This window comes from Homo sapiens, chromosome 8 (assembly GCF_000001405.40).
Source record: "Homo sapiens chromosome 8, GRCh38.p14 Primary Assembly".
NCBI classification, from domain to species: domain Eukaryota; kingdom Metazoa; phylum Chordata; class Mammalia; order Primates; family Hominidae; genus Homo; species Homo sapiens.
Genome location: NC_000008.11, coordinates 130,526,490 through 130,551,541, shown reverse-complemented (window position 1 = coordinate 130,551,541; position 25,052 = coordinate 130,526,490). Strand labels below are relative to the sequence as shown.

The window sequence follows — 25,052 nt, the reverse complement described above, 5'->3', positions numbered from 1 at the left end:
GAATTAATATCCGGAGTATACAAAGAACTCAAACAACAGCAAAGTAACAAATAATCCCATTAAAAAGTGGGCAAAGAGTATACATAGACATTTATCAAAACAAGACATACAAATGGCCAAAAGATAGATGAAAAAATGCTCAGCTTTACTAATCATCAGGAAAATACAAATCAAAACTACGTATCATCTCACCCAAGTTAGAATGGCTATTATCAAAAAACGTAGCAAATGCTGATGAGGATGCAGGGAAAGGGAAACACTCATACACTGCTTGGGGGGAATGTAAGTTAACACAGCCACTATGGAAACTTACTAACAGTAAGTTGGTAAGCCACTATGAAAAAGGATTTTCTCAAAAAAACTAAAAATAGATTTTTCACATGATCCAGCAATTCTTCTTCTGGGTCTTTATCCAGACAAAAGAAAATTAGTATATCAAAGAGATATCTGAACTCTCATGTTTATTGCAGCACTATTCACAATAGTAAAGCTATGAAATCAACCCAAGTGTCCATTAATGGATAAATGGATAATGATAATGTAATATGTATACACAATGGAATACTATTCAGCCATAAAAAAAGAACAAAATCCTGTTATTTGCAGCAATATGGGTGGAACTGGAGGTCATTATATTAAGCAAAATGAGCCCGGCACAGAAGGACAAATATCTCATGTTCTCATTTATATATGGGAGTTTAAAAAGTTAATTTCATGGCAGTAGAGTAGAATGATGCTTACCAGAAGCTGGGAAGGGTAGGGAGGGTGAGGATAAAAAGAGGTTGGTTAATAGGTACAAACTTACAGTTAGAAGGAATACATTCTAGTGTTTGATGGTGTGCAATCATCACCAAATTCAGTTTAAGAACACTTTTTTCATGTCTGCAATAATAAACCCCATACCCTGTAGCCATCATTTTCCATCCCAGCCTTCATCCTCCCCAGCCATAGGAAACCACTAATCTACTTTGTCTCTATGGATGATTTGCCCGTCCTGGAAACTTCATATAAATTGAATCATATTAAAACAATATGTAATCTTTTGTGACACACTTGTAGCTTGTAGCAGTGTGTCATTCCTTTTTATTACTGTATAATATTCCCCTGTATGACTGCATCACATTTTATCCATTCACCAGTTGATGGAAAACATCAATTCTTGCATGAACTACTGCTCCCACCTTCTATTTGACTTCCCTGCATCCAGCCCACTCTACCACATATAATATGACTGCATCACTTAAAGCCCATTATGACTCCTAGTTGCTTTGGTATTTATCCAAATGCCCAACATAGCAAGAAAGTCCTTTTGTGATTTGGATCCTGATCACCTCCTAAACCTCACGTCCCAAGTAAGTTCCCATCCTTCTGAATTTCCAATGGTTCCTCAAAGGCACCATACTCTCACATGCCTCCAAAATGTTGCATGGGCAATTTCCTCTGAAAGATCCTTGAGAACAGTCCTTTTTTTCTGTTCTACTCATTAATGCATCCCAAGCACCTAGAAGAATGTCTGGCATAAAGTAGTTGCTCAGTAAATATTTGTGCCTACAAATGGTTTCATTTCAGTGTGTAGATGGCCTCTAAGATAGCTTCCAATGATCTCCACCTCCTGCTATTCAGTCCGTTGTGTAGTCCCCCCACTGGAGTGTGGGCTAGATTTAATGACTCTCTTCTAGATTACTGAATATGAACAAAGCCATTGAATGAAAATTCTAAGATTAGGTCATAAAGACAGTGGCTTCCATCTTAGGGGCCCTCTCACTTCCTTTCTCTCTCTCTCGGATCACTTATGCTAAAATACACAAGCTGCCATGTCACAAACAGCCCTGTGAAGAGGCCTACATGATACAGCAAAGAACTGAGGCCCTCAGTCCAGCAGCCAGTGAGGAATTAACACCCTCAATCCAACAACCTGTGAGGGAATCAAGCCTGCTAATGATCAGATAAGTGAACATGCAAGTCCGTCCTTCAGTGCCAATTGAGTCTTTTCTTTTTCTTGGGATAGAATCTTATTCTGTCACAAAGCGGTATGATCTAGGCTCACTGCAACCTCTGCCTCCTGGGTTCAAGTGATTCTCCTGCCTCAGCCTCCCGAATAGCTGGGATTATGGGCACGTGCCACCACACCCAGCTAATTTTTGTATTTTTAGTAGAGACAGGGTTTTTCCATGTTGATCAGGCTGGTCTCGAACTCCTGACCTCAGGTGATCCACCCACCTCAGCCTCCCACAGTGCTGGGATTACAGGTGTGCACCACTACGCTTGAACTGATTTTTGTATTTTTAGTAGAGATGAGGCTTCATCATGTTGGCCAGGCTGGTCTTGAACTCCCGGCCTCAAGTGATCCACCCACCTCAGCCTCCCAAAGTACTAGGATTACAGGTGTGAGCCACTGCACCCAGCCCCTACTTGAGTCTTAAGATGAGACTGAAGGCCTGTCTGACAGTTTTACTGCAATCTCAAAAGAGACCTTGAGCCAGCAAGATCCAGCAAAGCCACTCTGGATCCCTGAGCCACTGAAACTGTGAGGTAATGCCTGCTGTTTGAAGTTATGCAAAAATAAATAAATAATACAGATTTTGGTACTAAGAGTGGGGTGCCTAGGTATAAAAAACCTAGAATGTAGGAATAACCTTAAAACCAGGCAAAGAGTTTTGAACAGTGTGCTAATGAAAGTTTAAAGTACCTTGAATACAACTGTTCACAGAATTTTGGATTTTGGGGATGCTAAGGTGAGAGCTTGCAGGACATTGAAGAAAATCTTATTGGAAACTGAACGAAGGGGGATATTTGTTATAAAGTAGCAGAAAGCTTAGCAACACTCTCACCTGCCGTTACGTGAAAAGTTAAATATCTGTCTAACGGACTGGGTAATCTAGCTAAGAATATTTCTGGCCAGGCACGGTGGCTCATGCCTGTAATCTCAGCACTGTGAGAGGCTGAGGTGGGTGGATTACCTAAGGTCAGGAGTTTGAGACCAGCCTGGCCAACATGGTAAAACCCTGTCTCTATTAAAAATACAAAAATTAGCTGGGCGTGGTGGCACACACTCATAATTTCAGCTACTTGGGAGGCTGAGGCAGGAGAATCACTTGAACCCAGGAGGCAGAGGAGACTCCATCTCAAAAAAAAAAAAAAAAAAGATTATTTATTTTATTTATTTATTTATTTTTAGACGAAGTCTCACTCTGTTGCCCAGGCTGGAGTGCAGTGGTGTGATCTCAGCTCACTGCAACCTCCGCCTCCTGGGTTCAAGCAATTCTCCTGCCTCAACCTCCCGAGTAGCTGGGACTACAGGCACGTGCCACCATGCCCAGCTAATTTTTGTATTTTTAGTAGAGACAGGGTTTCACTATGTTGTCCAGGCTGGTCTTAAACTCCTGACCTTGTGATTCGCCTGCCTTGGCCTCCCAAAGTGTTGGGATTACAGGCGTGAGCCACCATGCCCAGCACAAAAAAAAAAGAATATTTCTAAGCCAAGCTTTGAAGATGCCACCAGGTTTCTTCCTGCTGCCTGCAGTCAAATGTGAGTGAGCGATCAATTGCAGAAAGAGCTGTAAATAAAAAAGAGCTAGTACCTGATGGTTTTTAAATTTCTCAGCCTCTCTAGATGGTAAGTTATGTTAAAATGTAGAAATGGCTTCTCAGCAATGAAGAAATTCAGGAAAATGCTATGCTAGGAAACCATGGTGTTTGAAAGCCAAGGGTTTGAGTAAGCTTTGAGTTGACTACTGCTCCAATTGGCAGCTTGATTGCAGCCTCAGGAGACAGGTTGACCCAGACACCCCCAGCATGCAGCTCCCAGATTCCTGACCCCCAGAGGCTGTGGAATAAGAAGCATTGTTTTCAGTGCTCAGTGCTCAGTTTGGGGGTAATTTGTTACGCAGCAGTGAATCACAAATACATCAAGCCTCTGGATAACATGCTGTTAGCAGGGGTGGGAGGAGGGAATAAGATTACTGACCAAAGAAAGCTAAAAAAAAATCTTAGGCAAGCCAGGCACGGTGGTTCACGCCTGTAATCCCGGCACTTTGGGAGGCCAAGGTAGGTGGATCATGAGGTCAGGAAGTCAAGACCATCCTGGCCAACACAGTGAAACCCTGCCTCTACTAAAAAAAAAAAAAAAGAAAGAAAAAAAAAATTAGCCAGGCATGGTAGCACACGCCTGTAGTCCCAGCTACTCGGGAGACTGAGGCAGGAAAATCGCTTGAACACGGAAGGTGGAGCTTGCAGTGAGCCGAAATCGTGCCACTGCACTCCAGCCTGAGCTACAGAGCAAGACTCCGTCTCAAAAAAAAAAAAAAAAAAAAAAAATCTTAGGCAAAGCTTGAGGCCATAGCCGTGAAAGTAGGTCTTCCTCCCACTAACATATTTTAAATACATCAATTCTCTTTAGGTGGCAGTTACAGAAGAGAGAGATAAATGGTGAGATGAATGGCTTCTGCCAGCTGGACTTACTTGCTCTTTCTGCCTGAAGGATTAAGCAATGCCTTTTCCTGGCCAGTTGGAAATAAGGGCAGACACTCCTTATTTCCTGCCCTTCCCCCTACTTATTCTCTTCTAGATGAGGTGGTAAGGATTCTGGGCTCTCCCAGGCCCAGGCAATGAATTTGAAATCTCCCTCCTCTAGCCGCCTCCCTCTCTGGCTTCATACCCCATCCCCACAAAACCTACAAGCTAACCCAGTGAACCAGCTCCGGGCAAGTTCTGTAAATGGGGATTTATCGAGTCTCAAAGTTGAAGGAAAGCTCCTCTAGCCAGTCTTCTCTTCACACTACCTTGAGGACTTGATGATCATGGGTAGATTGAGTTATTTACACCTTAAACGAACCTCACACAGATGCGTGGAGAGAGACTAGGGAAGGATCAAAAGCCAAAAGTCCTCCTATGCTAAGTTGGATCCAGTCCCACTTCTCTCTTGTGACTGATATGCCAAATGCTCTTCCTCCACATCCCCTACCTTGGCCAGTGGCAAGCCCTGCCCAACTGCTTGGATGTATCCCCCATACCCCCGAGAACCAGACTGCCTCCATTTTCCAAGCAAAGACAAAAACAACTGAAGAGCAACCAGATGTTCCAGAAAATCCTCAGGATGCCTCTAGGCTTGTAGATGAATTAGAAGATGGCATAACCTGGCACAAGATGGCAGCAGAAATTCTGGGGTCAGCGAGGCAGCCCCAGACATGTCCAGTTGCTCATCCAGCCCCAGACATGCCCAGTCACTCACCCAAGAAGCTGCTGCCGATGCCTCCATTGTCCTCTTTGCTCCTAGTCTGAGTGTCTTCAGAGCTGATGGCATTCCCTCTCCAGCTGGGGAGACCAGCACACATGCTGCCTCTCAAAGGAACAGCAGCTGGACAAGCCTCTGAACCTCGCCTAGGTGGGACCAAAACCTCCTATTTGAATCTCAGAGCTCTTCTTCATTTCTGCTAGCAGCAGAGGGGAAAAGCAGGGCTATTTGTGTGGAGCAGACAGGTATGGCCAGGGAGAGGCTGGTAGTCAGGAGATGAGGGTCATCAGGGCAGGGAACATGGAGCAGAAAGAACCAGAGATTTTTCTCCCTAATCCTCATCCATCCTAGATTTCCGGAGGGCAGTTTTTGATCACATGCTGGGTTCAAATACTGGTTGTGTGATTTCACCTTTGAGTTTCTTTGGGTATAAAATAAGAATGAGGGTTCCTCCTTGCTGGGTTGTCACAGAACTAAATTAGACGTTGTATATGAAGTGCCTGACACAGCAGCAGGCACATGGCAGCCAATCAAAGCATAGTAGCTATTATTGGCCATTGTTGTCTATTTTTTTTGAGTGCCCGCCAGCAGGGAAAATTACAATAATCATCTATATTGGGGTAGTGTTTTATAATTTCCAACCTATGTCACATACATTTTCTCTCTTAGTTTTCCATCAGTCCTCTGACAGAGATTTTATTACTATATTGTTTCCACTTTTGAAGGAGAAAACTGAGAAGAAAGAAGCAGAAACAAGAGAGTCAAGAGGGAGAAATGGGAAGCGAATTTCTAATGAGTTTACACCTACTCAGAAGTGGGCCAGGGAAAGTGAGCCACACCCCCAAATAATTCAAACTGTGCATGCCAACTTCTTTTTTCCAATCCCAGGAAAAATAAGCAACAAAACACATACTAGAATCAGAAGCTCCAGACTCACATACCAGTTATGCCCTTTACATGCTAATGTCCCCAGAACTTAGTTTCCTCACCTGCAGAATGCAGGTAACATTAATACCTTTCAGAGAGTAGTGCTCAGAAGATCCAAAAAGACACTAGAGGTAAAAGGACTTTCTAACCAGAGAACAGTACCTATTTTTATGGAAAGGCTACCTTGAAAACTTTTCTCCAGCCTTCATTCTCATTTTGCAAACTCTCAAATCACAGATTTATTTTTTCCTATGCCTCCCACAATATTCTGTACCTTTATGCAAGAGCTCTTATTATCTATTTACATATCAGCTTTATTATCTATTGCCATCTGAGCCCTCCCCATTAGACCATGAGCTCCAGCCAGGAGCTAGCATAGAGTTGATATTCAATAAATGCTTGCTGCATAAAGATATGAACATATCTCCAGTTTCTCCAATCTAACATAAGTCCAAACAGGTGAAAGGAACTCTGAGGGCAAGCTGAAAGAAGGAATCTTCTCTTTCTTGGTCCTGTCATCTCTCCTGCACTTCACTGGGTCATCAGGATTAGAACAAGAGCAGCTGTTGAGGTTTCAACATATGGAAATGACCAGGGGCAAGAAACTGGAAAGACACCATGAGATCCAATCCCAAAACCAGAGGGCAGAGTTCTGGTGCCAAAATTGGCCTTGAGGCCTTGCCCTGCTACAGGCCTGTCATCACCAAGCCAGCTTGGACAGGTGCTTGGCTGGACAGCCAGCAGTCAGAGTCATTTCAGCTGGGATGGAAATAAATCTGAGGGTAGATTGTGGCCAGACACCGGCCAAGCTTCTTATCTAGTCAATCTGAGTGTTCTGTAAGCGTGTGAAAAACATTCTCAGAGATTAAAATGGACTTTTTAAATAAGTGGCTCTAGGAAAACAGGCAGGCATTTGAAAAAAATTAGAGCTCACACCATACACAAAAATAAACTCCAAATAAGTCAGAGATCTAAATGTAAAAAAAAAGAAAAAGAAAAAGAAACCACACAAGTACCAGAAGAAAAGATGGACACACGTGTCCTCATTTCATTCTCCATCAGCCCTCTGACAGAGATTTTATTACTATATCATTTCCACTTTTGAAGGAGAAAATTGAGAGGAAAGAGAGAAGTGGAGACAAGGAAGTCAAGAAAGAGGAAAGTGAAGTGAATTTCTAATGAGTTTACACCTACTCAGAAGTGGAAGGGATTTCGGCAATATCTGACAAAAGCACATATGCACTTACCCTTGGACCCACCAATCCCAGGTCTAGGAATTTACCCTAAATTACACCTCCAACACAATCAAAATACATATGCACAAAGTTATTCATTGCAGCATCATCTGCAATTGCTAAATATTGGAAACAACCTAAATGCACATATGTAAAAAATTGGTTGAGACTATAATATGTGCACACAATGAAGTGCTATACAGCTGTAAAAGAAAAAGTGGAGTGCTTTCCAGGGAATATAGTTACATGAAAACAGCAAATTGCAAAAGATGATCTATAGTATGCCACCTTTCATGTAAGAAAGTGTAATGGTTAATTTTAGGTGTCAACTTGACTAGATTAAGGGATACCCAGATAGCTAGTAAAATATTATTTCTAAGTATGCCTGTGAGGGTGTTTGAAAAAGATATTGGCATTTGAATCAGTGGATTGAGTAAGAAAGATCCATTTTTATCCAATGTGGGTGGATGCCATTCAATCGACTGAGGGCACTAATGGAACAAAGAGGCAGAGGAAAGGAGAATTCTCTCTCTTTCTCTCCTGGAGCTAAGAAACCCTTCTTCTCCTGCCCTTGGACATCTGAACTCCAGGTTCTCTGGCCTTCAGACCCTTGGGGCTTGTACCAGGGGCTCCCAAGTTTCTCGGAACTTCAGCCTCAGACTATAGCGGGTGTCTCATGGGACTTCTCAGCCTCCATATTCTCATGAGACAGTTCCCCTAATAAATCCCCTCTCATCTATCTATCTTTACATATTCTGTTCCTCAGGAGAACCCTGACCAATATAGAAAGAGATTTTTTTTAATGTATTTGCTACCTTGAACAAAAAGAATCACCAGAAGAAATCAGAAACTAAGAAATTAGGTACAGGGGTGGGTGGGAATAGAATGGAAAGGATGGGTGAATGGGAGTAATGTAGAGGAGAAGGGAGGATGACGTTTATCTGGATGTATTTCTTTGTGTAGTTTTGACTTTCAGAATATTGTGTCTTACACACTAAAGGAAAAAATAAAAACGGTCAGGGAAGAAAAAGAAAAATGGAATACAAATAGAAATAAATCAGTCTAACTAGATTTCAAATGAATAACACAACCAAACTTAGGAGAGGCAATGAAAAGAACTCGTGTAAATCTTGATCACAGTCTAACTAAATACCTGCAGGCTAAAGACAAAAAGAATTGTAAACAATTATTGAACCTCAAATCGTGAGTTTGTTTTCCACAATGGTATAGAAGAGCAATTCCAGGATATAATGTATATTCCAGAATTAAACAAGTGAGACTCAGTTTGCACACAGCCAGAAAGGAGTTTTCAATATGAGAAAGGCTTCAATGAACTCACTGGTGTTGAACTGGAATTGAAGGTATAAGTGTGAACTCATAGTTTTGAGGAAGGACAAGAGAGAGAGGTGCGTATGTATATACATACATGTATTAGCAAAAATAAAAAGTAAAAAAAGAAGGGTGGTTTGTGTGAGAATTGCTAGATTAAACCAAGTCAAATAGGTTTCCTTACTTCAGGGCTCTTCAGAATCTTTAACTTCCTAATGCAAACTCTGAATCTCCAATGGGGTAAGATAGTATTCCAGTTTCCAGTTTCCAAAGTCATTTAATGGTGGAACCCTTTCCCCATCGGATATGACACAGAACTAGAGTTTACACTAGAGTTAGAAGATGGCCAGAACCAGGTTGGAAGTGCTACCACCCCTTTCTAGCTGGGGGGCTTGGGCAAGCTCCTAATATCTACAAAAAAAGATTAAATAAGATCACACTCAAGTACCTTATTATATTTTTACTTTTTCTCTGTGTTCCCCAATTCCCCTTTTCTCTCCCTCCCTCCTTTCCTACAACACTCCCATCTTATACTCTCAGGGAACCAGTTCCTGGTGCAGCCGGCTTCCAAATCTAGCCCATGTTAGGGCTGTGCAGACAGTACAAATAAGCAGGCCAGCCCGTCTGAAAGCAATTAGCTTTGTGGAATGCCGTGGTTTTTTCTCTCCTCCTTTTGAAACTGGTTCTGCCTGAGCTCAGCACCTGGGTGACAAGTTGAATTTAGGAAGCCCAAAGAAAAGAAAAGAAAAAGTGAAAGGCAATTAGCATGGCTTGCAGAAAATCATATCCCTCGTTCCTAATTGTCAGGCGGTGGGTACGTGGCAATGGAAGGGCAGAAAGTAGCCAGGGAAGGCAAAAGGTGGCCCCACTACAGATGCTGTTGGCCTCATGGAGTTTAGCTTAGTCCTGGCTGACGAGATCTGAGTCATGGGTTGAATAGTGAGCAGACAGCTCTGATTAGTTGGGCAACCCCAGCCACTTTTAAGTGAATTTAAAGTGAGCCAGACCCAGAGAAGCCCCATACGTTCTCTGACAGCTGGGGACATGATTGGAGAAGGGTGTTGGAGACAGGTCACCAAGATTTCTGATCATTTTTTGTACCCCAGTGGGTAATTACTCAGCCCCACCTGCAGGTTCAACCTGAAAGCTCAGTGATTCACTACATGAGGATTTAAAAAAAAAAAAAAAAATCACTGGCCAGTCCCCTGCAGCAAGTCAAAGAGACAGAAGCCAGATTCCACAAAGAGGCCAGGCAGAGTGGTTTAAGTGACCAAGGCCAATTCCATCCACTCCATCCCCTGGGAATCCACAGCCCTGTTTCCCAGCCCTCTTCTCTTGCTGTTCCTCATAATTGTAATAATCAGGGAGGTCGTCTGGCACAGTCTGTGTCAGGCACTATGCTAAACACTATAATGCACGTATCTATTATATTATCACATTTAATCTTCACAATGACCCTGCAAAAGCGATATTCATTTACTCAAGTATTTATGTGTTAGATGTAGTCTATGTGCCAGAAACTGTGCCATTGTGCTATTGTGCTACTGGTGCTGGCAACACCATGATGAATTTACCAATAATGGAGGAATTCGTTTCCCATTCTACAGATAAGAAAACAACCTCAGAGAGGCAAAGTGAGTTTTAGCCAGATTGCTCCTATATTCTTTAAGCAGTTAATTAAGGCACCACCACATGAGGGAGGCTACGTACTGAAATAGTAGAAACATTCAATAGAAAGCAGACAAGTTCTTTTCTTTCAACAAGAAATTGAACTTCTTTTCTATTGTGAGGACAGCTTCTATTATTAAACAAGCAATCACTTGTCCATTAGTTAATCATCACTTCTAATAAAATAAGACAGTCAGCAGGAGTTTTCTAAGGAAGAGTTTCACAGAGCAAATATAACCAGTTCACCTCAGCACCTAGAGGGAGCTCAGCGGATATGGGAGAAAAGATAAACTGAGGCAAAAAAGCATTACATAATTTTCCTACTTTGATTAGAATCACAAAATGCTAGAACCAGAAAGGGAACTCATCCAATCTAAAGGGCAGCCTGTGGGAACTTCCCCAGCACACACTTGCTTCTCTTGGTCAGAAACCCCAATTTTCATTCAGGTAGCCACACCTCCCTCTCACAGCCTGTTTACTTTGGAGATGGTGGTACCACTCCAGCTCCAACCAGGCACCCCACTTCCTGGTCTCAGTTACAAATTCAGAGATGCTCTATTGGCCAGTGTTGTCCGGTGAGGTGCTGGCAGAGCTTTGCTGAGGCTTCTTGGAGAGAAGCATCCTTGCTCTTCTAGAGTGTACTCACTTGGGATTTGGAAGAAGTCAAGAGCCCGTTGCCTCAAAGATGAGTGCAAAGCAACCAACCTCAAAGAGACAGAGTCTTGAGCATATCATTGACCCACTGAGTCAAAACAACCTGGAAACCCATTCTTATTTTGCTTTCTAATCTCTTCAGCAAATAAATCCCTTGTGTGATTGTAAGCCTATTTCCACTGGGTTATTTACCACAGAGGAACAGCAGCCAACATAAGGCCAAATTTTTCCTCTTACAGGCAAAGAAACTGAGGCCCAGAGAGGCTCGATGACATGTTCAAAGTCACATATCCAGAAGAGGACGGAGTCAAAGTCTTTCTGGAAGTTTCCAAAAGGAAGAATAGGATCCTGGTTTGGAATTTCTCTGAAATTGGACTTCTAATTTTCTGTAGGAATGAACGTTCCCAAATTGGAGCTGTCCAGCAATAAGGTGGATTGCCTTTGAAGAAGCTGAGTTCCTTGCCATAGGAAGTATTCAAGCAGAAAGGTACAAAGACTCAACGACAGAGTGCCAGAGAGGATGTCTTATGGAGATGGTTGACATAAACCTCTCTAACTGCATGGGCTAGAAGGGATCCAGGAAGCCCCCTAGTGAGTACCTAAGAGTTCTTTTAACATGGAGATGGTTTGCAGACCTAGAGAAAGCACCACGATACATAATGTAAAAAATTACACCCCATAACACTTACCATCTTAGCCATTTTTAAGCGTGTGGCTCAGTAATGTTAAGTCTATTCATATTGTTAGGCAATCATTCTCCAGAACTTTTTCGTCTTGCAAAATTGAAACTCTGTACACATTAAACAACAGCTCCCCATTCTCCTTTCTCCAGCCCCTAGTAACCTCCATTCTTCTTTATGTCTATGAACTTGACTACTCTAGGTACTTCATATGAATGGAATATTATAACATTTGTCCTTTTGTGTCTGTCTTATTTTTCTTACAATGGGGTCTTCAAGGTTCATCCATGTTGGAATACTATGCAGCCATAAAAAACGATGAGTTCATGTCCTTTGTGGGGACATGGATGAAGCTGGAAACCATCATTCTAAGCAAACTATCACAAGGACAGAAAACCAAACACCGCATGTTCTCACTCATAGGTAGTAATTGAACAATGAGAACACATAGACACAGGGCAGGGAACATCACACATGAGGGCCTGTCAGGGGGTTAGGGGCTGGGGGAGGGATAGCATTAGGAGAAATACCTAATGTAAATGACGAGTTGATGGGTGCAGCAAACCAACATGGCACATGTATACCTACGTAACAAACCTGCACTTTGTGCACATGTACCCTAGAACTTAAAGTATAATAATAATAATAATAATAATAAAGGTTCATCCATGTTGCAGCATATGTCAGATTTTCTTTCCTTTTTAAGGCTGAATAATATTTCACAATTCCACTGTGCAGGTTGTTTCTACCTTTTGGCTATTGTAAATATTGCCCTATAAGCATAGGTGTAAAAATATCCGTTTGAGTCCCTGCTTTCAATTCTTTTAGATGTAAACCCAGGATTGGAATCTCTGGATTGTATGGTAATTCTATTTTTAATTTTTTGAGGAACCACCATACAGTTATCCATAGCAGCTGTACAGTTTTACATTCCCATCAATGGTGCACAAAGGATCCAATTTCTCTCTACATCCTCAGAGGAGCTGGGTTTGCCCCTTCTGAATTTGATATGAAGGCAGGACATCTGAGTGCAACTGTCCATGAGACAGTTGGAGATACTATGACTCAGGGGACAGGATGGTACTGCAGACAAATCTGGAATTTATCCAATAAGAAATGAGAGACGCCATGAAGATAAATGAGCACAGATGAGAGTGGAGGGTGAAGAGCAGGAGTTGAGGACTAAGCCTTGGGGAATGGCTCAGTTGGGTGGCACATTAATTCACAAATGGCAGCTGCTAATTGTTTCTAAAAAAGCTCATTCCCTAAGTTAAACCTTCCCCTGCAGTCCCTGGATATGCTTAGCAAACCCTTTTATATTAAAATAAATACTAACTTACTCCTGATGGAGTTATTCAAAACCAAAATTAAAGATTCCAGTGATAGTTAACATCTGTAGAGGTTTTATTTCATATATTTAATCCTTATAACAACCCTGTAAGGTAGATATTATTCTCACATAGTCCTCTAGTGGGGAGGCAGAGCAAAGCACCCCTCAAGGAGAGAGACAAGCTCTCCTGACTTTACTGCTTACTCCCACCCAGGGGGCGTTAGAAGGGAAGGGTCAGATATCAGACACTGAGAATAGTGTGTCTGCTAGTCGGCAGAAACATTGTGGATTTAAAGTGTAGGCACAAAGATCAGTGGTTGCCAGGGGTTCAGCAGGAGGGAGGGAGGAATAGGTAGAGCCCTAAAAGGCAGAGATGGATATATAGCATTAACGCAATTGTCAAAACGTATAGAATGCACAGCACCAAGAATGAACCCTAATGTAAACGATGGACTTTAGCAAAAAATAATCAATATTAGCCCATCAACTGTAACAAATGTGCCACACTAATGCAAGATGTTAATAATAGGGGAAGCTCAAGGAGTGTAGTAAAGGAGTATATGAGAACTCTTGTACTTTCGGCTCAATTTTTCTATAAACCTAAAACTGCTCAAAAAAATAAAGATTACTTTTGGCCGGGCGCGGTGGCTCACACCTGTAATCCCAGCACTTTGGGAGGCCAAGGCAGGCGGATAGCCTGAGGTCGGGAGTTCAAGACCAACTTGGCCAGCATGGTGAAACCCTGTCTCTACTAAAAATACAAAACTTAGTCAGGCTTGATGGCAGGCACCTGTAATCCCAGCTACTCAGGAAGCTGAGGCAGGAGAATCGCTTGAACCCAGGAGGCAGAGGTTGCAGTGAGCTGAGATCACGCCATCGCACTCCAGCCTGGGCAGTAGAGTAAGACTCCATCTCAAAAATAATAATAATAAATAAAAAATAAAGACTACTTTTTAAGTGTATGCACGTAGTGTGGCCTTCTTTTGTGGTCACCCCTCTCCCATGCTGCAGGAGTGGTAAGGAGACCCGAGGGACAGGCCCCATGCTCTGCTCTGGAAACATCTTTCCCCCTTCTTCAAGGACCCCTCTTAGAGGAAGCCCTGCCATCTCGCTCTTTTCCTCTCTGCTCTACTTCCATGTGGCAGCCAGCTAGACCCCACACCCTGCCAGCTCTTCCTTTGGCATGAAGATAAACACATTCTATGAATCTGTCCCTCTCCAGGTACATTCTGCCTAGTTCTGATAAATGGGTTCTATTAGTTTTGGATTTGAAGCCATTTACACCTAATTACCTTAGGGGAAAATGTGTGATTCATGAACCTGAGTCACGTTCACATAGCTTGGGCCTCAATCCGGCTAAACACAAAATGGTGCTTGTTTTCTTGGCTCTCGTGCTTCATGTAACTATATCCCTTGGGAGTCTCCTGGGAAGAAGGTATGGCTAAACCAAAGCAGAATTCTGATATTCTTTGTCCCCTAGCAAAATGCCAGCTAATAACAATCCAGAATTCCTTGTAACGCCTAACAATGGAACCCATTTTATAGATGAGGAAACCAAGTATTGATCAGCATGAGTGACTTGCTCAAGAACACACCTGTAAGTGGTGGGGCTGGAAACTGAAACTCAGATCTTCTGACTCTAGAATCTATATTCTCTCTATTCTTCTACCCCACCTCTCTAGAGGAATGAGGTCTTTGATATTTTAATTTTTCTTTAAGCATGCATGGTTATGCACACTCAGTTAACACTTGAGTCTTCTTAACCCAGATCCTATGGCTTTCTACCTGTGCACATCATAATCTTAATGTGGGGCAAGACCCTCGCCTCAGGACTAGCCCCTACACAAGAGTCACGCCAAGAAAACGAAGATCAGGGTGAGGACAAGGGCATTAAATCAAATATAAATACCCAAGGCTTTGTGTCCTTAAAGAAAAAGATTTTCTGTTTCTGGAGAAATAAGATGGATTCAGTCATTCAGTAAACATTTACCGAGGCTTTGGGAAACGTGAATAACACATAGTTCCTTCCTTTAAACAACAGATCACTATCTCAAGGGTGGGGTAAATGAAGACAAATGAACAGATAATTACACGTGGGGGTAATATGCAAAATATTTTATAACTGGAAAAGCATGGAAGCTAACCAATCAGAATGGATGCTTACCCATTCAGAACACATTCCAGCCATAAATTAACCACCTGGACATACCTATGTGTATTGGTCTGCTCAGGCTGTCATAACAAAATACTATCAACTAGGTGGCTTAAACAATGGACATGTATTTTCTCACAGGCCTGGAGGGTGGAAAGTCTAAGATCAAGTTTCTGTCAGGGTTTGGTTCCTGGTTAGGGTCCTCTTCCTGGCTTGCAGGTGGCCACTTTCTTGCTATGTCCTCACATGGTGCAGAAAGAGAGCTCTGGTATCTCTTCCTCTTCTTATAGGGGCACCAGCCCTGCTAAATTAGGGCCCCACCTTTATGACATTATTTTACCCTAATTAACTCCTAAAAACCCTGTCCCCAAATATAATTCACGTTGGAGGTTAGGGCTTCAATACATGAATTTAGGGAGACACAAGTCACTCCATAGCAGCATGTGTGCCCTAATGGCAGCATAACAGTGCAATAACTGATCCAAAGGAATTAACCATTGGGTGTCTGAGAGGAGCACTTCCCTAGTGACAGCATTTTGGGTTTTTTTTGTTTGTTTTGTGAGATAGTCTCACTCCCAGCAGGACCCTCGAGCTGGCCACTACCCTAATTTGTTCCCTCATATCTACCTGTCACTCTGATCTTACCAAACTTTTGTCATTGTATTGTCAATTACAATAGTAACATCAAAGGTCACTGATTACAGATCACTATAACAGATATAATGAAAAAGTTTGAAATACTGTAGGAATTACCAAAGTGTGACACAGAGACATAAAGTAAACACTTGTTGTTGAAAAAATGGCACTGATAGACTTTCTTGAAGCAGGGCTGCCACAAACCTTCAATGTGTAAAAAAGACACAATATCTGTGAAGTACAGTAAAGCGAAGCTCAATACGATGGAAGGATTCCTGGATTTTTGTTATGGCAGCCCTGGGAAATTAACACATTAATTTTGTATGTTGTTCATTATAAGTGATTTCTTTGAACACATAGTGGACAGTATAGATTTGCTTGGAGTCCAACAGGGGCAAAAATGTTTGCCCAAAGGGAAGCTGGGTGGGGCACCAATTTGGGTAAATGCAATATGTTTAGTGCAGCAGAGAATATGCTCATTTATTTTTTATTCATTATTACAGGAAACTTTCTCAGAGGTTTCCTCTCTCAGCTTGGAGCCCCCTCCCTCTGTCTCTACAGGTGAGCTTCTTCTTTCTTTCTTGGCTATTTAACTCTCTGCTCCTTAAAATAAAGAAAATAATAATAATAATAAAACTTTCTTGAAGGCTTGCTATGATCCAGGGTCTGTGCTAGGGAAGTACAACGCCAATAACTTCTCTACCTTATTTTTCTGAATGACAGCTCATCTGTTGACAGCATGGTTTACTGAATACTTTAAGCTGACTGTTGAGACCTGCTGCTCCAAAAAACATATTCCCTTCAAAATATCACTGTTCATTGATAATGACCCAGTCACCCAAGAGCTCAGATGGATATGTACAAAGAGATTAATGTTTCCATGGCTGCTAACACAACACCCCTTCTGCAGCACATAGACCAAGGAGTAATTTTTACTTTCAAGTCTTATTATTTAAGAAATACATTTTGTAAGGCTATGTCTTCCATAGATAGTGATTCCTCTAATGGATCTGGAAAATACAAATTGAAAACCTTCTGGAAAGGACTAACTATTCTAGGTGCCATTAAGAACTGTCATAATTCAAGGGAAGAGGACAAAAATATCAACATTGACAGAAGTTTGGAAGACGTTGATTCCAACTCTCATGGACAACTTGTTCAAGACTACAGTGGAGGAAGTAATTGCAGCTGTGATGGAAAAAGCAAGAAAACCAAATTAGAAGTGGAGCCTGAAGATGTGACTGAATTGCTGCAATCTTATAATGAAACATGAAAGAATGAAGAGTTGCTTCTTATAGATAAGCAAAAAAAGTGGTTTCTTGAGATGGAATCTACTCCTGGTGAAAACACTGTGAACACTGTTCTAATGATAACAAAGAATTTAGCATATTACATAAACTTAGCAGTGGGAGAGTTTGAGAGAATTGACTCTAATTTTGAGAAAATTCTACTGTGGATAAATGCTGTCTAACAGCATTGCATGTGATATGGTTTGGCTGTGTCCCCACCCAAATCTCATCTTGAATTGTAGCTCCCATAATTCTCATGGGTCATGGGAGTAACTGAATCATGGGAACAGGTCTTTTCTTTGCTGTTCTCTTGATAGTGAATAAGTCTCATGATAACTGATGGTTTTATAAATGGAAGTTCCCCTGCACAAGTTCTCTTTGCCTGCCACCATGTAAGACATCCGTTTGCTCTTTCTTCATCTTCTGCCACGATTGTGAGGCCTCCCCAGCCACGTGGAACTGTCAGTCCATTAAATCTCTTTTCTTTATAGATTACCCAGTCTTGAGTATGTCTTTATTAGCAGCATGAGGATAAACTAATACAGCATATCACAGAGAAATATCACAGGAAGAGTCATTCAATGCAGCAAACTTTATTGTTGCATTATTTTTAAAAATTGCCACATCCACCCCAGTCTTCAGCCACTACCACCCTCGTCAGTCAGTAGCCATGAACACTGAGGCAAGACTCTCCACTAGCAAAAAGGTTATGACTCACTGAAGGCTCTGATGATCAGCATTTTTAGCAATAAAATATCTCTTAATTAACATATATACTGTTTTTAGACATAATGCTATTGCACATTTAATAGACTGTACCGTAGTATAAACATAACTGTTATATGCACTGGGAAACCAAAAAAATTGTATGACTCACTTTATTGCAATATTTGCTTTAATGTGGTGGTATGGCACTGAACTTGCAAGTCTTTGAGGTATGCTTGTACCACAAACTGGGTGGCTTAAAATACCAAAAATTTATTCCCTCAGTTTTGAAGGCCAAAGTTCCAAAATCAAGGTGTTTTACAGGGTTAGTTCCTTCCAGAGGCTCTGAGGGAGAACCTGTCCCAGCGTCCTAGCTTCCAGGGATGGCCAGCAATCCTTGACATTCCTTGGTTTATAGGACTCTATTTATTCCTAATCCAATCAGGATAAACTCTGCCTTCACACTTTTTCCAGTCTCTGCCTTCATCTTCACATGGCTGTGTTTCTATAAGGACAACAGTCATATCAGATTAGGGGCCTACCCTATACACTAGTATAGTCTCTAGCTAATTACATCTGCAATTAGTCTATTTCCAAATAAGACCAGATTCTGAGGAGCTGTGGGTTAGGAATTCAATATATCTTTTGCAGAAGACACAATTCAACCCATAACATACAATAACTTCACAAAAAATATCATTTAGGAGTCTTATTTAGTAAGCACAGGTTAGAACCTTTTGTTGACAACAGCCCTGCGGGGAGCTCCCTGGCATCTATTAGAGTGTGGCCGATACGGTCTCCTGCAGGTGAGAAAGAACACTGGGCTGTAGATATGAACTCCAAGTGAAAGAAGAACTTGCTGGTGAAGAACAGAGGCCCTGCACACAGACTGCCTGAGTTTCAATCTCAGCTCTCGCCTTCTGTGTGAATTGGGCTGAGTTCACTAGTCATGCTGTGCTTCGGTTTCCTTCTGTGTAAAATGAAGATAATAATAGTACAAACCTCATATCATTGCTGTGAGGATTAAATGAGAAAATACCCATAAAGTATGTTAAAAATTATTGGCACACAATAAATACTAAATTTCTAATTAGCAATAATACTTATTATTATTTGGCATTATAGGGATAAAGATAGTAAATGAAACGTGGGGAGTGGATGGCATGGTGGGTGAGGTAGAAAAGACCTAGGACAAAGCTGTAGGAACACCAAGATTTAAGGATCAGGGAAAGGAGGAGGAAGAAGAGCTGGCAAAAGAGACAGAAAAAAAAAAGGTAGGGAGTTTCAAAAGAAGGGAGTGCCCTAAGAGATATCTGTGCCCACATGCTCACAGCAGCATTAGTCACAATAGCCAAAAGGAAGAAGCAACTCAAGTGTCCATCAGTGAATGAGTAGATAAGCAAAATATGGTATATACAATAGAATATTATTCAGCCTTAAAAAGGAAGGAAAAGCTAACACAATGCTATGGTATGGATGAACCTTGAGGACATGAGGCTAAATGAAATCAGATAATCACAAAAAGACAAATACCGTATGATTCCGTTTATAAATGAGGTGGACAGAGTAGTCAAATTCATACAGACTGTATTAAGCCATTCTTGCATTGCTATAAAGCAGTACCTGAGACTGGGTAATTTATAAAGAAAATAAGTTTAATTGGCTCACAGTTCTGCAGGCCGGACACGAAGCGTGGGGCTGCATCTGCTCGGCTTCTAGGGAGGCCTCAGGAAGCTTCCGATCGTGACAGAAGGCAAGTGGGGAGCAGGCATGGCACATGGCGAAGGCTGGAGCAAGTGAGAGAAAGAGTGGCGGGGGAGGAGCCACACACTTTTAAACAATCAGATCTCATGTGAACTCAGAGCAAGAGCCCACTCATCACCAAAAGGATGACCCACGCCATTCATAAAAGATCCACCCCCATGATCCTATCACCTCCTACCAGGCCCCACCTGCAGCATTTGGGGATTACAATTCAACGTGAGATTTGGGCAGGAATAAATATTCAAGCTATATCAGAGACAGAAAAAAGAATGGTGGTTTCCAGGGGCTGGGAGGAGGGAGAATGGGAAGTCGTTGTTTATTAGGGACAGAGTTTCCGTTTTGCAAGATGAAAAGAGTTCTAGAGATGGATGGTGGAGATGGTTGTACAACAATGTGAATGTACTTAACACTACTGTACTATATACTTAAAAAATTGGTAGAATGGTAAATTTTGTTATGTGTATTTTGCCACATTTAAAATTTAAAAAATAAAAAATAAAAAGAAGAATAGAGCGGTCAACAGTATTTAATTCAGCTGAGAAGTCTGGAAAGCTAACCGGAAAAGGGTGGTTGGTCTTATCAACAAAGAGGTTGGTGGTCAGGCTGCAAGGGCAGCAGAGGGGCTTAGAAACCAGGCTGCCATGGGCTTTGGGGTGACTGAGAGATAAGACAGAAAGCCAGGAGCTTGCCTACAAAGGAGGAAGAGATGTGTGCTCATAGTTAAGGGAGGATAAAGCTATTAAAAGGGCTTATCCCCTTTCTTTATTAAATTCCTTTTTAAAACTACAAAATTAAGGCATGATTTGTAAAACACATTGGCCTGTGGAGAAAACATTGATAATCCTCCCTACTCCTCTCCACTTCAACCCAGTTACTTGTGTTAACAGCCTAGTGTGGGCTTTGCCACTGCCTTCACACTCACAGCAACATACGTCAATGTATACAGTGTGCAAAGGCTCTGAGACCAAGGTAGACAGTGTTCAAGGAAAAGCCCTGTGTCACTGAAGAACATGAGCAAAGGAGTCGGGGGGATTGGGAAGATAGAGCTGGGGCCATGTAAGACCCTGCAAGCCTGTGTGTTATTCCAAGTGTGATAAGAAATTATCGGAAGATTTGAGTACAGGAGAGATCTGGTCTGTGTTATGTTCTACGAGATCACCTGACTGCTGGATAAAGATAGCTACAGCAAGTGTCGAAATAGAAAAACTACTTGTAAGAGGTCACAGCAAAAGTCCTGGTGAGGAATGATGGTAGCTTGGCCCAAGACAACAGTGGTGGGCATGGTGAGAAGTGGATTCAAAATATCTTTTGAAGGGAAAGATGACAGAGCTTGCCCCTGGATTGAGCAAGTTACTCAGAGTAGTTTTTAAAAGTCCCTAAGCTCTTACATCTCTTAAGAGACAGACCAGTATTCAAACCTGATTCCTCTACTCAATAAGTATTTATTGGCCAGGCACAGTCGCTTGTGCCTGTGGTCCCAACACTTTGGGAGGCCAAGGCGGGTGGATCACCTAGGGTCAGGAGTTCAAGACCAGCCTGGCCAACATGGTGAAACCCCATCTCTACTAGAAATACAAAATTAGCCAGGCGTGGTGGCACATGCATGTAATCCCAGCTACTCAGGAGGCTGAGGTGGGAGAATCGCTTGAATCTGGGAGGTGGAGGTTGCAGTGAGCCAAGGTCGTGCCATTGCACTCCAGCCTGGGCGACAAGAGTGAAACTCCATCTCTAAAATAAAATAAGTATTCATTGAGCATCTGTGTTAGACCCTGGGAATGGAACAGTGAACAGCACTCCTCCCCATCATGAAGCTCATATTCTAGCCATGGAAAGCCAGTGTACCACAGCAGTTAAGAGCACGGCCCTGACAGGCAGCCATGCTGACATCCCAGCTCTTCTGCTTAGTAGCTACGTGATCTTGAGCAAGTTACTTGATCTCTTTATGCTCCATGTCCTCATCTGTAAGATGGAAACAATAGTCATCACTCCCGCCTCACTGCTTGTTACAAAAAATAGATGGATAATATTATGCTTTAAATATCCCCTCCAAAACTCATGTTGAAATTGAATTGCTAATGTAATGGTATTTAGAGGTGGGGCCTTTAAGAGATGATTAGATCATGAGGTCTTTGCTCTCATTAAGGGATTAATGCCATCATGACAGGAGTGTGTTCCTAATAAAAGGATTCAGTTCAGCCTACATTCCCTCTCTGTCTCCTGTGCTCACTTCCACCTTTCACCCATCCACCCACCTTTTCGATGTGCCTCTCCAGATGCCTGTACCATGCTCTTTGACTTCCCAGCCTCCAGAACCATGAGCTAAACAAATCTCTGTTCTTCATAAATTACCTAGTCTGTGGGCATATCTTTTATAGCAGCAGCAAACAAACTAAGACAGCTAGTACTGTACATAGAAAGTGCTTAGAACAGAGAAAATACTTTATAAATGTTACATTTTATTACTACAGAAGTCAAGCTCTTAACCATTATGCAATTAGGTCTCGGTTTCAGTATCCCATTCTGGCAATGCAAATTGACAATGAATTTTTTCCTTCATTCTGCAAAATAGAGTACGTGATATTGAGCTTTCACCCAGTGGCAATTGCCTCTGTAAATATCAGAAGTTAGAAAAATCACCATGTATTTATCTAGGTATATATGAACAGTGCCAATCTTATGATGGTTTGATTCATAATTTTTTGACTTTATAATGGTTCAAAACTGATATACATTCTGTAAAAACCACACTTCAAATTTGGAATTTTGCTCTTTACCTGGGCTGGTGATATGTGGTATGATGCTCTCTCAAGATGATGGTCAGTAGCTATGAGCACAGCTCCCAGTCAGCCACACAATCACAAAGGTAAACAATGAATACTCTCCAGTGCACCATGTTGCTTGATAATTTTGCCCAACTGTAGACTAATGTATGTGTTCTGAGCATGTTTAACGTAGGCCAGGCTAAGCTTTGGTGTTCAGTAGGTTAGGGGTCTTAAGTGCATTTTTTTAACTTATGATATTTCAGCTTACGACAGGTTTATTGGGACAATGCCATCATAAATCAAGAAGCATCTGTAAGTCCACTGAAATAAAACGGTAAGGATAGATCTCAAAATGATGACACTGTGTGGTGGGATGATGGGATTAAGGGTAATACTTGATTTCTTCTTTATGTCAAGTTCTCTGCCATAAGACTTTGTTCATGTCCTAGTCATAAGAGCAATCATAGTTATTTTTACAAAAATATCTGAGCAAAGGATCTGTAAGCCCAGAACAAACAGAAATGCATCTATGTCCTTTCCTCTTTGCTTTCAACTCAGGACATACCCTGAGAAATGACAAAAACACCAACTATTCACCATTGTCCCAAGGCAAGATCACAAAGGAATGACTCAGAAGTGGCTTCTGACACAAGGCAGAGGGATGACTCAGAAGTGGCTTCTGACACCAGGCGGTGCCTGAGATAGGAAAGTGCATGAGAGCCAGCAGCAGCCAGCCAATTTCTGCAGAGAACCCTCCCTCTCTAAAGGAATATGGGTGGGGTGGGCTGCGGGGGTGGGGCTGGGAGAGCTGACAGCGAGTTTTGACCCTGAACCACACAAGGCTGGACTAATTAGGCATGTTAATTGCCAAGAGGGAGCTCTAAACAATCAGACCCAACACATTGTGGAATTAGAGAATAGCCAGGCTTAGAAGCACTGCCCCCCACCCCAGTCCAACTCCCTCACTGTTCCACTTGCAAAAAAAATCAAAAATCCCCAGCATCAAGATTTCTTTTACTTTAGCTCCCCACAGAGTCCTGCACTGGGCCAGGAACACAGGAAATAAAGTGCTTTGACTATTTTAATCTCTATTTCTTGTGTTCCCTGCCCAGCATCTATTGCTCCTTTTCCTGGCAACAATGCCCCAGTTTCTGTCTGGGGAGCCACCCCTCCCCCACTCCTGGTGGGATTGTAAGTCAAGGTGAACTTCCTTCCCTGACCAGGTGGTGGACACTGAGCTCAGGCTAAGCCAGTCAGATGCTCTTTTCCTTGAATCAGGCCAGAGTGGATTCCCCACCCTCCCACTCCCCATTCCCCACCCCTGCTACAAGGCTTTTTATTGGTTTTTGTCACCCAAATCCCTGGACCTGAAATGATTCCTACCCTTTTAGAGATCTAATTCCTCAAATTTTCTCCATTTCTGAGAGCACCCCCAATATTCTCCCAATAAAGCCCTTTTTGATTTAAGAAAGATAGAGTCCTATTTCTGTCACCTGCTCCTAAAGAATCCAAATTTGCTATTCATCATCAAGAGAAAACATAAATAAAATCAATGAGGATACCTAGCATTGATTGGAGTGTTACCATTAATTATTTTCACATTCATTGTCTCCTCTGGTCTTACAGCAAACCAGCAACTCAGAGAGGTTCATTGACTTGCCGAAGGCCACAAAGCTGTTAAGTGTTCAAACAGATGGCGTCAAACCAGATCTTTAGCCTCAGGGACCAGAGCTCTGCAGCCTGGAGGGGACCTTCTGCAGCATCATTGCACAGAAGACATCAATCAATCAGTCTTTCAGTGGCCTTACATTTTTCTCCACTTGCAGGTTATGGGTCACCATTTTACAAATTCCTCCAGGACAGAAAGAAACTGTTTCTCCTGCCTGTTCTTTCCCAGCCCAGGCTGTCACCGGGGATCCAAATGTCAGGCTTTATGCAAGTTCTCGATGTTGGAACCTCTCATGAAAAGTGGAGTGAACAAGAGGGAAAGTGGGCAAACCTCAGGCCTCACAGCTTTAATGCCACCGATGCATTTGGTGAGGGACCTGATCTCTCTGCTTCCAAGACAGAGTCTTGTTGCTGTCTTCCGGAGGGGAGGAACCCCGTGTCCTCACGTGGCAGAAGAGCATAAGAGAGCAAACCCACTCCTTCAAACTCGCCTTTTAGAGATGGGGTCTCACTCTGTCACCCAGGCTAGAGCGAGCATAGTGGTATGATCCTAGCTCATTGCAGCCTCAAACTCCTGGGCACAAGCCATCCTCCTGCCTCAGCTTTCTGAGTAGCTGGGACTACAAGTATGTGCCACAGTGCCCAGCTAATTTTTTAATTATTTTTTGTAAAGACAGGGTCTTGCTTTGTTGCCCAGGCTGGTCTAGAACTCCTGGGCTCAAGCAATCCTCCCCCCTCAGACTCTCAAACTGCTGGGATTACACTGTGAGCTAACACTCCTGGCCTGCAAACACTTTTTATAATGAGTGTCATTAGTCCATTTATGCAGGCAGAGCTCTCATAACCTAAACACCTCCCATTAGGCCCCACCTTTCAACATGGTTGCACTGGGGATTCAATTCCCAATACATGAATTTTTGGAGGGGACAAAAACATTTAAACCATAGCATACCTCTAATCAAAGGCCCTTCACTGTCCACACTTCTTACTGCTCTTCACAACATACATCACCAAGCAGAC

At 42.3% G+C, this 25,052-nt stretch overlaps 1 long non-coding RNA gene across 5 annotated transcripts, besides 1 other annotated feature; it reads left to right on the top strand.

Moving 5' to 3' along the window:
• The first annotated feature begins 2,340 nt into the window (after nt 1-2,340).
• Nucleotides 2,341-24,598, top strand: LOC105375758 (uncharacterized). Of its 5 annotated transcripts, none has more exons than XR_928646.2 (5): nt 2,341-2,532; nt 11,439-11,637; nt 16,348-16,405; nt 22,628-22,698; nt 23,991-24,598. It is a non-coding gene; the product is annotated as an uncharacterized LOC105375758 (long non-coding RNA). The 5 variants fall into 5 exon arrangements; XR_928647.2 differs by having other exon boundaries at nt 11,286-11,637; XR_928648.2 differs by lacking the exon at nt 23,991-24,598 and adding an exon at nt 22,923-23,102.
• Nucleotides 22,441-23,640: an enhancer, noted in NCBI's record as "CDK7 strongly-dependent group 2 enhancer chr8:131540148-131541347 (GRCh37/hg19 assembly coordinates)". NCBI's record gives its function as "activates an origin of replication core promoter dependent on BRD2, BRD4, P300/CBP, MED14 and CDK7 cofactors, with strong dependence on CDK7, by STARR-seq in HCT116 cells {active_cell/tissue: HCT116}" and the evidence as "EXISTENCE:reporter gene assay evidence [ECO:0000049][PMID:35650434]".
• Nucleotides 24,599-25,052: the final 454 nt, after the last annotated feature.